This window comes from Homo sapiens, chromosome 3 (genome assembly GCF_000001405.40).
Source record: "Homo sapiens chromosome 3, GRCh38.p14 Primary Assembly".
Lineage (NCBI taxonomy): Eukaryota > Metazoa > Chordata > Mammalia > Primates > Hominidae > Homo > Homo sapiens.
This window is the reverse complement of record NC_000003.12, coordinates 68,060,622-68,075,286: the sequence shown is the minus strand read 5'-3', so window position 1 is coordinate 68,075,286 and position 14,665 is coordinate 68,060,622. Positions and strand designations below refer to the sequence as shown.

The 14,665-nt window shown below is 39.3% G+C and overlaps 1 protein-coding gene across 7 annotated transcripts in view, besides 2 other annotated features; it reads right to left on the bottom strand.

Annotated features, from left to right (window-relative positions):
* TAFA1 (TAFA chemokine like family member 1) overlaps positions 1–14,665 on the bottom strand; it is a 554,078-nt gene that overhangs the window by 470,335 nt on the left and 69,078 nt on the right. The gene's annotated exons all lie outside the window — the stretch shown is intronic.
* Positions 10,116–11,032: an enhancer, noted in NCBI's record as "POU3F2 HCT in FAM19A1 intron, chr3:68196095-68197011 amplified region (NCBI36/hg18 genome assembly coordinates)". NCBI's record gives its function as "activates a mouse minimal Fos promoter in transgenic zebrafish G0 embryos {active_cell/tissue: forebrain | midbrain | hindbrain}" and the evidence as "EXISTENCE:transgenic organism evidence [ECO:0001131][PMID:20363979]".
* Positions 10,658–10,735: a conserved region, noted in NCBI's record as "conserved region; HCT with multiple POU3F2 binding motifs". NCBI's record gives the evidence for it as "EXISTENCE:sequence alignment evidence [ECO:0000200][PMID:20363979]".

Below are 14,665 nucleotides of genomic sequence, written 5' to 3'. Positions count from 1 at the left end.
AGTCAGAATCTCAGAGGTCACAGGCTTCAATGGAAAGGCAAAAGGCAGCTTATTTTACCCCTGGTGCCAATAGTATATCTATACAGAAGGTCAGGCAATCACTATGCCACCTGTACAAAGTAGGCACCACCTCTGGCCAGTCTCAGTGCAATATTGTATACAAAAGAAATAGGCAAAAGTTATAGTTTCAGACACTTTTCCACTAACAGTGTCTATTGGCCCTGGCTCTGTCTTCTGTGATTCTACTTTGTCTGGTCCTCAGTCTTGAAAACCAAAGGTACACTTTTGTCACCTGCCAGGTTCATGGGGAAGGTTAATCATCCATGATCCAAAGGACTACTCTTTACAACAGAAACATCTTGTTGCAACAATTTCAGAGAATTCAGAAATGCAACATTCTGTATGTTGACAACTATCCTGGAATGGCAAACACAAAAATGACCTAAATAGCTTGTTTTTCAAGACTCAAGAAGTAATTTTCAGGATTCAAAATTGAAGCAATTTATCCAAAGAAAATGTATATGGTGGTTATGAGACAAGCTCAAGAGTCAGATAGACCTGATATGAATTTCAGCTCTGCCATAAAATAGACTTGTAGATTATTTCATCTCCCTGAGTCTCTGTTTCCTAATATGTAAAATGGAGGTAAATAATCAAATCTCTCTCACAGTCAGGGTTACAAGTTTTGTCAGAAGCCTTATATACTTTTTTCTTTTTCATTTTAGTGTCATCATATCCCTTTGCTGTAGGCATTTTTGTTTTCCTTCTTTTTATTGATGAGGAAATTGAGACTTCAAGAAGTTTAATATTTGCCCAAGGTCATAGAGCAGGAAATAGTTACACTGGGATACAACCTCAGGAATTTGAACTTGAGCATCAGAGTCTTCCGTTAAGCTTCTATACAGCCTCTAAGGCAGGGGTTCCCAATCCCCAGACCACGGACCAGTACCAGTCCACAGCCTATCAGGAACTGGACCACACAGTAGGAGGGAGGTAAGCAGCAGGTGAGCAAGTGAATTTTCATCTGTATTTACAGCAGCTCCCTGTCACTCGCATTAAGCCCTGAGCTCCACCTCCTGTCAGATCAGTGGTGGTGTTAAATTCTCATAGGAGCAAGAACTCTATTGTGAACTGCATAGGTGTGAGATCTAGATTGTGCAATCCGTATGAGAATCTAATGCCTGATGATCTGTCACTGTCTCCCATCACCCGCAGATGGGACTGTCTAGTTGCAGGAAAGCAAGCTCAGGCCTCCCACTGATTCCACATTATGGTGAGTTAATAATTATTCATTATACATTATAATGTAATAATAATAGACATAAAGTGCACAATAAATGTAATGTGCTTGAATCATCCCAAAACCATATCCCCCACCTACCCCAGGTCTTGGAAAAATTGTCTTCCACAAAACCTGTTCCTGGTGCCAAAAAGGTTGGAGACCACTGCTCTAAGCACTCACTAAATACATATCATCATCACCATCACCATCATCATTACTACCTCCACCCCTGCCTTTCTACTGTAGCTACTCCTACCACTGCTGTGGCTGCTGCTACTACAACTGCTGTGCTACTCTCACCACCAGTATAACTAATATACATTGGAGAAAAAAAAATATTGTGTATAGAGATGCAATACTTATCTTTTAAATATGGAAACAGTTTAATCCCAACAGAATTTTCCAACTAAACCTTATTAGACAGTTTGAGAGTAATAGGCTATGTCCTGGTGAGGAAAGTTTTCCCAGACAACATGGCCACCCTCATAGTGCTATATTTATTCTTATGTTTATGTTCCCTTTAGCAAGATAAAGAGGAAAAAGAAAGAGTTAGGAGGTGGGGGACATATTTGTTAATGCTGCAGAATAAGAATCAGCATAGAACACTGAAGAAGCCCATTGCTCTAGTCCTGTGGACCTTTGCTAGGGCCTGGCTCTGCCATGTGTTGAAGATGAAACCTGGAGTAAATCATTCAACCTTGAGGGATTTCTTCTTTCTAACATGTAAGATCAGGTTGCCTCTAACTCTAACGTTCAGTAAATCTATAAAAATATCTTCGTATAACAAAGCCCTAGGTATAAGTAATCCTCCAAGAAACCCAAAAAAACAGCAAAGCCTACTCAAAGGAGGTCTCTTCTGCTGGTTTATCTACTTATGTTCTAATTAACCAAGAATAAGGATAGCCTGTCTTGAAATTTTCTTTGGAAGCCTGGAATTTAAATGCATGTCATTGCACACAGAATTTTCTCTTCAGAAATCCTTCTAATGAGCCAGGGGAAGAGTACATTCTTCCTTTTTAGGTAAATTTCATTGGAGTTCTTTGTATTCTAACAAACTAATTAATGCTGAAGACTACAAGAACCGAATAACACTGATCTGAATGCTTTATGTTTGTAGTGTTCTTTTCAGTTTACCCAGAGCTTTTGTTTCTACTAGATCACGTGTTTCAAGCTTCAGACAAAACCAGTCACTAAACTTCACATCCATAATGTCCAACTGCCAGTAGGCATCCCTCTGGGGACACCCCACAGGTGTCACAAACTCCACAGCCCAAAACTGAACTCACTAAATCTGTAAAAACTCCATTCTGCTTTATCTCTGTGGTGTCACCATTCACCTAATTCCAAAACAGAAACCTGGCTCGTCGTCCCTCTCTTCTTCCTAACCTCTCCCTTTAAAATCAGGACGTGCCTATTTTATCTCCTAAATGTTTCTTGGCTATCCTTTCTATCCTTGTTCTATCTCTTCCCCATCTGTCACCTGGACTCCTGCAGGTCTGCTTAACTTGTCACCCTGTCTCTGGTCTTATTTTTCCCAAATCCATTTTCCACATTTCTACCCTGGAAACAACTAAAACACCACCCTCTGTAACTCCTGGGAATGGTTCTCCATCACTTTAAAATTCACAGTATAAAACTCAAGGACCTTCACAACCTGACCTCTACCTACTTCTCTAACCTCACTTCCCGTACTTCACACTCAAGCCACACGAGGCTGCTTCTCATATCTGTGCTGTTGCTCATGATATCTGCTCTGCCGCAGAGGCCACCTGCCATTGCCACATCTGGTCCTTCACTAGGTTGACTCTTCCTCACCCTGTAAGCCTCAGTTCAAGGATTACATCCTCCAACCACAAAAATATAAAGAGAGAAAATATTAAACCACTCTTAACAATGTTCCTGGAAGTGTTCTAAGCAAATTACAGGCATTGGTCTATTTAATTATTTCAGTGACTATATGCATAAAATACTATTGCTATTCTCATTTTATAGATGGTGATATAGTTTAGATATTTGTCCTTACCCAAATTTTATGTCTAATTGTAATTCCTAATACTGGAGGTGGGGTCTGGTGGGAGGTGTTTGGGACATGGGGGCGGATCCCTCATGGCTTGGTGCTATCTTTGTGATAGCGAGTGAGTTCTCCTAAGATCTGGTCATTTCACCATATGATGTGCCTCTTCCTCGCTTTGCCTTCTGCCATTAATAAAACCTTCCTGAGGCCTCCCCAGAAGCCGAGCAGTTGCCATCACCATGATTCCTGTAAAGTCTGCAGAACCATGAGCCAATTAAATCTTTTTTCGTTAAAAATTATCCAGCCTCTGGTGTTTCTTGGTAGCCATGCAAGAACAGCCTAATACAGAGGGGGAACTGAGGCACAGAAATGCTAAGTGGCACAACTAGCAAGTGGCAGAGCTGGCACGAGAGCTGGAGCTCCCTGGCTCCAGAGTTCTGTTTCAAATTCCTATACCACACCTCTTCCAGTGAGCCTTCCCTGATTTCCCTCCATCACCCCATTCACCCCACTGATGATGTGATTTCCATCTGATATAGTTTGGCTGTGTCCCCACCCAAATCTCATCTTGAATTGTCTCTCCCACAATTCTCATGTTTGGGAGGGACCTGGTGGGAGGTTGTTGAATCACGGGGGCAGGTCTTTCCCAGACTGTTCTCATGATAGTGAAAAAGTCTCACGAGATCTCATCTGTAAGGGGGCGTTTCCCTGCACAAGCTCTCTCTTTGCCTGCTGCCATCCACATAAGGTGTGACTTCCTCCTCCTTGGCTTCTGCCATGATTGAGAGGCCTCCTCAGCCACATGGAACTGTAAGTTCATTAAACCCTTTTTCCTGTATAAATTACTCAGTCTCGGACATGTCTCAGCAGTGTAAAAATGGACTAATACAGTAAATTGGGACCAGGAGAATGGGGGACTGCTGAAAAGATACCTGAAAATGTGGAAGTGAATTTGGAACTAGGTAACAAACAGAGGTTGGAACAGTTCAGAGGGGTCAGAAGAAGACAAGAAAATGTGGGGAAGTTTGGAACTCCCTAGAGACTTGTTGAATGGCTTTGAACAAAATGCTGATAATGATATGGACAATGAAATCCTGACCAAGGTGTTATCAGATGGAAATGAAGAACTTGTGGGGAACTGGAGAAGGTGATACTTGGTACATTTTAGCAAAGAGACTGGTGGCATTTTGCCCATGCCCTAGAGATTTGTGGAACTTTGAACTTGAGAGAGATGATTTAGGTTATCTGGAGGAAGAAATTTCTAAGCAGCAAAACATTCAAGAGGTGACTTGGGTGCTGTTAAAGGCATTCAGTTTTATAAGGGAAACAGAGCATAAAAGTTCAGAAAATGTGTAGCCTGACAATGCAATAGAAAAGAAAATCTCATTCTCTGAGGAGAAATTCAAGCTGGCTGCAGAAATTTACATAAGTAACTAGGAGCCAAATGTTAATCCCCAAGACAATGGGGGAAATGTCTCCAGGGCATGTCAGAGGTCTTCATGGCAGCCCGTCCCATCACAGCCCCTCCCATCACTGGCCTAGGTGGACAAGATGGTTTCCTAGGCTTGGCCAAGGGGCCCCCTGCTGTGTGCAGCCTAGGGATTTGGTGCCCTGCAACCCAGCTGTTCCAACTGCAGCTAAAATGGGCCAAGGTATAGCTCGGGCTGTGGCTTCAGAGGGTGCAAGTCCCAAGTCTTAGCAGCTTCCATGTGATGTTGAGCCTGCAGTTGCACAGACATCAAGAACTGAGGTTTGGGAACCTCATCTAGATTTCAGAAGATGTATAGAAATGCCTGGATGTTCAGGCAGAAGTTTGCTGTAAGGGTGGGACCCTCATGGAAAACCTCTGCTAATGCAGTGTGGAAGGAAATGTAGGATTAGAGCCCCCACACAGAGTCTCTGCTGGGGCACTGCTTAGTGAATCTGTGAGAAGATGGCAATCATCCCCCAGTCCCCAGAATGGTAGAGCCACTGACACCTTGCACCATGCGCCTGGAAAAGCCATAGACACTCAATGCCAGCCCGTGAAAGAAGCCAGGAGGGAGACCATACCCTGCAAAGGCACAGAGGTGGAGCTGCCCAAGACCATGGGAACCCACCTCTTGCATCAGTGTGACCTCGATGTGAGACATGGATTCAAAGGAGATCATTTTGGAGCTTTAAGATTTGACTGCCCTGCTGTATTTTGGACTTACATGGGGCCTGTAGCCCCTATGTTTTGGCCAATTACTACCATTTAGAATGGCTGTATTTACCCAATGCCTACAACCTCATTGTATCTAGGAAGTAACTAACTTGCTTTTGATTTTACAGGCTCATAGGCAGAAGGGACTTGCCTTGTCTCAGATGAGACTTTGGACTGTGAACTTTTGAGTTAATGCCGAAATAAGTTAAGACTGTGAGGGAAGGCATGGCTGGTTTTGAAATGTGAGGATGAAGTTTGGGAGGGGTGAGGGGTGGAATGATACGGTTTGGCTGTGTCCCCACCCAAATGTCCTCTTGAACTGTATCTCCCACAAGTCCCATGTGTTGTGGGAGGGACCCAGTGGGAGGTGGTTGAATCATGGGAGCAGGTCTTTCCCATGCTGTTCTCATGATAGTAAATAAGTCTCACGAAATCTGATGGTTCTATAAGGGGGACTTTCCCTGCTCAAGCTCTCTCTTTGCCTGCCACCATCCACATAAAATGTGACTTGTTCCTCCTTGGCTTCTGCCATGATTGTAAGGCCTCCCCAGCCACATGGAACTCTAAGTTCCTTAAACCCTTTCTGCTGTATAAATTACCCAGTCTCGGGTATGTCTTTATCAGCAGTGTGAAAATGGACTAATACACCATCTCAGAGATTTATCTATTATGGTGCATACAAACCATTATTTTCCAAAGTCCAGTCTTAGCAACACCTTCATTACAATGTTCCAGCATATGTATTAAAAACTGCAGCTACTCCTTTTCTTAAAACCATCCAAAAATGCATAGCTCTGCACCTCCTCTAGATCTCTTGAATTAAACTCTCAAAGGGCAGAGCACAGGAAACTGTGTTACTGACAACCTTTGTATTAGAGTCTATGCACATACAATAATATGGGGATTAAATCAGATAATGCATGTATGGGACTTAGTCCGCAAATTCTCACATAATACGTGCTCCAAAATGTTAGCCCCTGTTGTTTTTATGGCCATCCTTATTACTGTCTGATACAAAGGAACAAGACTAAACAAGATCTAATGAATTTTCTATTTACTAAGAAAAAAAGTGGAAGAGAGATGACAAACCACGCTACTAGAACCATAACACATGAGGTCTTTTGTGATCAGGCAAAGAATAATTTTGAAGGAAATAAGAAGTTTGTGCTTTCCAGTTCCATGTTCTCTCGGGTTTGTCTTAGGTAAACCACAGGGGAAGAAAAAATACAGATATATTTTTATTTTAGCAGTTCTATTCCTGAGAATAGTGGCGCCTACTTAAGTAATATGACCCCAAGTACAGGAATTAGGGTGATTAAAGATTTAAAAGCTTAAAGCCATCAGCACTGTTATACTATGAAGTCTCAAGCCTCAGAAAAGCAGAAATAGCCAGCTAATATAAACAAGAGAAATCCGTCTGAGCTAGAAATAAGTATCTTATTCTGGAAAAGAAGATCTACAGTAAAGTTAACCCCATGAGGAATGCATTAAAGTCCTTGATAGACAAAATGACAACTTGAATATAATATCCCATAGCTTCGAAATCTTGTTCTTTCTGTATGTCTTATTTTATATGTATCACTTATTGAAACCAGTTATTTAACTTATCTTTCATCTAATGGTCAGTTTGAAACTTTTTTTAAGTTAAAAGTGCTTGCTTAGCATGTATTAATTCCTAATCTCTAGTCAACAATGCCCAAAGCCAGGTGATCTGCTATGACTTATTTTCTTGAGTTGCTGAAGACATTACTGCCATGTGAAGAACTGCAAGGATGGCGAATGTCAAAGGAAGCAACAAGGAGTGTTATGGAGGCCGACAGTAACTTTTTTTTTGTCTTGTTTTTGTTTTTTGTTTTTTGTTTTTTTGTAAAGCATTTCCTAGTTCCTTCATTAGAGTAAGTATTTTTCCTTATTATAATTGTTTATGAATCTGTCTTTCTACTACTCCTGGACAGTAGGGACAGAGTCTCATTCAACATCGTGTCATTAGATTGAGCAAAGAATAGGCAATCAGTAAATGTTTGTTGAATTGAAGGAAAGAGGGAAGAAAGGAAGGAAGGATGGAAGGAAAGGAAAGGAAAAAGGAAGAATGGAAGGAAGGAAGGAAGAAAAGTTGGCTACCGGATGGTCATAATGCTTAGCAATTTACAGTTAAAATGGATGCAAATTCAAAACTTGCAATAACAACACAGTAAAAATAATCCTGTAAAACCACTCCCTCTACAAATAAATAGTAAATGCCTACCATGTGCAGGAGCATGCTAGTTCCTAAAACTAAGTGCTTGTATTACCTCTCAAGCCATGTACTAAATAAACACAATAACCACATTCCTCACTCTCATGGAGCCTCCACTCCTGGAGGAAAAAGGACATTAAACTTTTAATAGAAAGTCAGTTTATTGTGGTCATTGGGGAAGTAATAAATGATGGAGTGAATAACAGAAAAGCTTGTGAGAAACTATGAATATATTTAATGAAAAAATGATGAAGGAATGGGAGTGTTTAACCTGGAGAAGATTAAGAAGATCATAAAAATGCTCTGGGACAATTAAAGAGGCAAATCCTTACGTTAGGCATATTTAGGATAGCCATGGAATTCAAAACAAGGACCAAAATGTAGATGTCACAAGGAAGTAGATTTGGGGTTAATTTGAGGAAAACTAATCTCATTGTAGAACTCCAACTTGAATCCTGGCCAATATTATGGACACAGTTAGAGCCTACTGCCTGGCTCTACGCCAGTCACCCAAAATCAAATCCAATGAGAAAGTTTATGAGTTATTCTACATGGAGCTGGCCGTCTTGCTTGATACCATGTCAAAGACTTTACAGCATTGACTATTTTTATTTAATTGCCCCTAAAAACCCCTGTGCCTTATGGAAATCTGTCACTCTCCCACCCTGACAGAGAAATAGAGGCATCAGCTTATAAAAACCCCAGAGTTCCCTCCTCACGTTCTTCCCAGCTATTTTGTATATCTTCCTCTCTGTCCTGAATTCAGCAGATCTTAGTCCCAGGTTATCCTGCCTCAGCTTTTTGTTGCCTCTTGATGCCTTTTATAATCTTACCATAATTCCCAGAATCACCTGAAGGTTTTCTCTTGTGAAAATCAGAAATTATGTCTTCATGGTCAGCTCCTCTCATGAAATATTTGGCTAATCTACTGTATCTCAACCTACAGTTGAATTCTCCTTCTACCTGGTTATTCTGTATAACCTGGGTACTGCTCAGTTCTTTGCAACCTGAAATTATTTTATATTTTCCAGAACTGTCTGAGATATATACCATTCCTGCACCATTCAGATAGAGAAAAAGATGGTGATGTTCTTTAGACAGACACACATTTAAAAGCAGAAGCATAGTGCTTACATATATCTACAGAGAGGTGTATATGCCTTCTTTGCATTTATTTATTTCCCAAATATTTATCAAGCTCCTACTATGTGCCAAGCACATTCTAGAAGCTGGAATATAGCACTGGACCAAAGATAAACTTATCTGCTCTCATGGAACTAATACTTTGTTGGCAAAAAAAAGAGTAAACAAACAATACACTCACCAACACAGAAATGTGTACATACATATATGACACATACGGCTTTATTGATATATAATAAAATGTAAATATTTCATGTATGATTTGATAAATTTTGATATATGCATTCACCTGTGAAACCATCACTACAATCAAGAGAATTTCTGCCTGCTGCTTTATAATCTCTATCCAACCCCCTCCCAAGTAACTACTGATCTGCTTCCTATCACTATTGTTTGTATTTTCTACACATTTATGTAAGTGAAACCATACAGTATGTACACATTTTTGTCTGGCATAATGATTTTGACATTTATCCATGTTGTTGCACATTTCAATAGTTCATTAGTTTTTATTGCTGAGCATCCTATTGTATGGATATATCACAATTTATTTCTCTATCTACCTGTCAATGAACATTTGGGTTGTTTTCAATTTTTAGCTAATAAAAATAAAGAGATAGATAGATTGATCAATAGACAGAGGCATAGGTAATGTGTGTGTATATATATATATATATATATATATACACACACACACATACACACAAACATCTATGTATACACACATATGTATATGTCGTCTCTATATCTACCTATGTATATATACACACATATACAAATTCATCTATGTCTCCACTCACAATTTGTACTCTCCAGCACTTTCACTGGCTCCCTTGTGAGTTCTAAGTCAAAAGGCATTGATAGAAATAGGTTTGGAAGGCTGTGAATAGGATTCAAGCATTCATCAGGAAAGTGCTCAATAACCTCAAGGGTTTCTTTAAACATAAAGGGGAAGACACTGGGACCCTATCAGTCGTTCATTACGTGCCCTTGTAATGTGCTTGCAAAACACCCAATACATTGCCCGTCACAGCAAGATGCTCTCTTTCTAGTTGAGAAAATCTCCCAGACCTCAAAGATCACAGACTCTGATTTATGTGATCAGATAAAAATGTATTCTGCAGTCATCCTTGGAAAATCCCAAGTAAAACAAATTAAAACAAACAAAAACCCCTGCAATATACCAGGAGAGCAAATCAAAACTGAGAAGCTGTGCCCCAATAAAAATTAAAGTTACAGTAGACATTCATAGTTAGTCGCTCTCTGTCTGTTGTAGATGTAGAAGTGTTCTGATCTCCCTAATTTGAGGGCTGTTACAATTTAGATAACAGATGACACAAACTGAATATACAGTCAAAATTAAACCACTTACAAAGCTTAAAATCTATAGCCTTATACATGATTTTGCTCTTCTTGATGGGTCTACCTTTACTCATGAACCCATAGCTCTAGGAGGCAACCAACCATGGAAAGTGATAATTAGCTAAGATGTACATATCAAGGCAATTAGTTTATTTTTTTCTCAAAAATGCTGATATTCCCTAGAAAGAATAAAGAAAAGAGTTTAAATGAAGATAAAAGATTCCTAGAGCTTGCATCTTTGCTGATCTTATTAAATTTACAACACAAGACAACTTTATCATTAATATTATACAATGGCATAAACCACAATAGGATACTTCTCAAGCAGAAAATGGCAAAAAAAATTACACAAAACACAAAATATTTTCTGAGGAGTTAAGAAGCTTTCTTGGACAAGTGATGTTACAATAAAATATTAATGTATGCTCATTTGTCATGTGTTAATTAGCAGAAAAAGCTGTAGGAAGTCCGGATTACCGTGCAAATGTTAATTAGGTCATAATTTATGTTAAGCATTTCTAAGTTTAAGAGCACCGCGTCTCATTTAGCAGCAGTTGAACTTTAGAAATAATTTGCATGTGCAACTGCTCGTTTTCAATTTTAATATGACAGTCACTTCATTTTAATAAATACAAGAAACTGCATTTAAATAATAGCAAATTCTGGACTAATTTGGTCACAGCCAGTGCATTTCCCTAGGAAACTGAAACTTTGTCCTTTCATCACTGTTCAGGTAATAAAAAAAATATGCTTCAGAAGATATTTTTCCTAAAAGAGCCCAGAGAGTCCTCCTGACTCCTCATCAACTATCCCCATTTCTTTTTTCGGAGAAAATGTCCTCCCAGCTGGTTTTTCACGTGATCCACGTTGGCCGTCTTCCTTTCCCACCTCATCACGTTTTTACCTCTCCACCTGGGTTTGCTACACAGCAGCATTCTGCCGGTTCTCCCCTATTTTGCTTTTACATATTTGAATTTATTTTTCTTTAAGTTGTCAACTTATTAAGTTTTGTTTTTTATTCTGTTGCAGAGTAATGTAGGATTCCAGCTGAATTCCTGTAAGCCACAGGAAACTCACATTGGAAAGGTAAAAAGTCCTACCTGGGGGTAGGAAATCTTTGGAAAGAAAAGCAATTCTGGCATCGCCAGAGTGGGTAATCTTTTTATTTACTGCTACACTGGTTCCGAACAGCCTTCCTAACTTTCCTTGTGCCATGGACTCCTTTAGTGGTCCAGTGAAGCCTATGCATCCCTTTTAAAATAAAGGATTAAAAAGAAAACTAATTATAATGAAATAACATTTTAAAAATGTGTGATATAATAAGATGTATGCTTCTTTATTAATGCATTAAAGAACATAATCTGACTGCAGGTCTGCAGGTCTGAATAATGACTGTAATTTCAAAATACCTGTAGTAAGAACCCTAAGTGATTTTTCAAGCCATCTGCATTTCAACAGTATAAAAATACCTGAGATTTCTATTGGTGGCAAAGTCACAAGACTCTAGAAAGATATTTTTAATCAATGTTTCCCTAACTTAAATTTTACATTATAATTATGAAATGTAACCTTTTAAAAATATTTTTACTTTCAAAAACTATTTTCATTTTATACTTCTTGTCCATGCGCAAACTTTTTTCTAAAACATATGTATAATTATGGTGCATGCCAAATTTATTGCATCTTTAATGGTTTCTTATTACCAGTAGCAGTAGTATTTAAAACGTTCTCTAAGATGAGACCCACCGTTAGCTCAAGAAGGGAAAGTATGTAGCTCAGTGACTGGGGCCTGGGTAATCCCAGCCCTCATCACCCGCAGCCCTGAGTTTATTTTACATATGGGATTTCAAATAAGCTTTGATTCACACTTTTCCTTTTTAATGTGAATTTGCTGCCAACATTTTAAAATTCTAACTTGCAAATAAAAACCCAGATTTCGAACTTCTCTTAGGCAATGCTGGTGCTGCATTTCTACGTGGCAAGGATCCACTGGAGCTGAGCCTGTTTTTTTAATCTGGATACAGTGTCCCATTCTCCAAAATCATTTTTCTTTTTAGGTTACCTGTCTGGCCCCTGTGGGCATTTGAGTTGGCAACCACCTGTTAGACGATAAAGTTCAGACTTAAGACTGCCACTGAAGACTGTCAAAAACTAGTGCTTTTAGCTAATTGCTTTTGAGAGCTTTTGGTGTCACTATTTCCCCAGAAAAGGAATTGGTAACTTTCCCCACCATGGAGCATTTCTTCCCTTCATTCAACCCATGAGGACTGCTTCTTCGTTATGGTTATCTCTTAACCAAGCCACATCCAAATTTCAACTCATAATTCAAATATTACCTCTTCTATGAATCCTCCCCTACTACTTCAAACTGAAATATTTGTCTCCACTCTTGATGTGCAGCTAGCAGAGAATAGGAATTTCAGCTTATGGTTTAGACTTTTCCATTGGAAAAACCCTAGGGTCATGCATATGTATAGGAAGTCACAATTCCTTGTTGATTTTATTTTCATTGGTTTGGTCAAGAACCTGCTTTTTGTTTCATTCATGCTTTGTTCTTGCTGTTTATTTGTTTGGTGTTCACTTTCCCAAGAATAAATTATTCTCCAGAAGTCATGAACTAGTCTTTCAGGACCTGCGCATTATTTTAAATGACAAAAAAACTTTGCTTATTTGACCATGTTTGTGGCATCTCTTTGAAAGATTTGCCTAGGATCACAATATTGGGCCTGAAGCCCCATATGGCAACTACTGGTTGAAACTGAGTAGCAGAAGTCTCCCTTAACAAAAGCATAGGAGCTTCAGTTTCCTGCAGTCCTCACCATCCCCTGTTGCGGTGCCCTTGATTCACCTTGATAGTCTATATTACCTACCTCCTCCCAACCCCAGAAATAGCTTGGTTTGAGACTACTTAGTCTACACAAAAATAAGATTATTAAAGAAAAAAATAAGTGATAGTCACTAAGAGGTTTTGGCTGTTAGAAATGTAGTAGCAAAAGATCAACTGATAGCATCTAAAATAAAATACCACATACTTATGTCTAGTATATGTTTTTTGGAAGCATTGAACCCCCTACCATGTCTTTGGAAACAAAAACCATATCGTTTGAGGTATCACTTCTACATTTCCCAATAAAAAGAAAAATTTCTCTTTGATGAGGGATAAATGTGATATATTCAGGGCACACAAAAAGAGAGAAACCATGCTGCACCAGTGGTTCAACCTCCCCCTCCTTTCCTGAAGGGTGTTTTGTGGAGAAAGATGACCTCATCCTCAAAAATAGAGACATTTCTTGAGTGTTCATAATGTACCTTTAATCGTCAACTACAGTTTTATTCTTCATGTACATATCTGCTCTTTTTTGGAATCTACTTCCCTTTCAAGACACTGCACATGATCAATAGTGCTTATGACCTATGCAAAATGCACCTGTGATTCTGGTCTTAAATCACTGCTTTCAAGCTTCAAGCAAATCCCCCTTCCCAGCTTTCAGTGATGTGATAAACAAGTGTATTTTCATCCTGCCTGTACCCTCTTTAATTCTGAGGATGTATATGCCATTCCTACTCAGACCTTGTATCCCTGCACTGATTCCCACTATGCCTTTTAACCTGTTCTCATGGAGAAATCATTCTAGCATGCTGAATGCACTCGGTCTCCTTTCTCAGGACTTCTCTCAGGACACACAGACTGAATTACATGTAGAATTCCTGAAATGGGAAGTTTATACAAACAGAGAAATTTATCAAGCACCATAATTGTTTTTAAAATTATATATCATTTTCATAATCAAGATGAAAACACAACTCTCAACCTGACACTTAATAAATCTCCTTTTCAAAGTCTTCTAGCTGATATATACCGTCTGCATATAGCATCAATGAGAGAGACAGACTCGCATATGCCATGTCATGGAGCTTTCCACGGGGAAGTTTCACAGTATTCTCATTGGCTGCTGTCCACTCGGTTTAGGCAGATATTTATTTTCTACAACTGTTAGCTCCATCTCCAAACAAAGCTGAGAAAGAGATCCAGAGAGAGCCAGCAAGAAAGAGAGTACACACACGCTAAAGAGGAATATGGTCAGTACACACTTGAACCTATGTCACACCCACTGTGGATCTGTTGAATCATCCATCCTGACAAGCTGGTTTGTGATGGTGAGACTTGAACAAATCCATATTTTCATTATATAGCGCCTAACCACTAACAAGAGCAATCAAAAGCCAGCTAATTGAATTATCCATGAGCCCATTTAAAGAAGAAATATTGCTCAATAAAATTATACAGCCTTTCTCAAGCCCACCCCTCCAACTCTTTTATCTTTTCTCTAAGGTATATGTACGTGACATCCATGACAAAGACCCACAGCTCAACAGAGACTGACCCAAGAGACATGGAGGCCAGTTTCTCCACATTCACAGGGGCCAGAGTAATGTTATGCA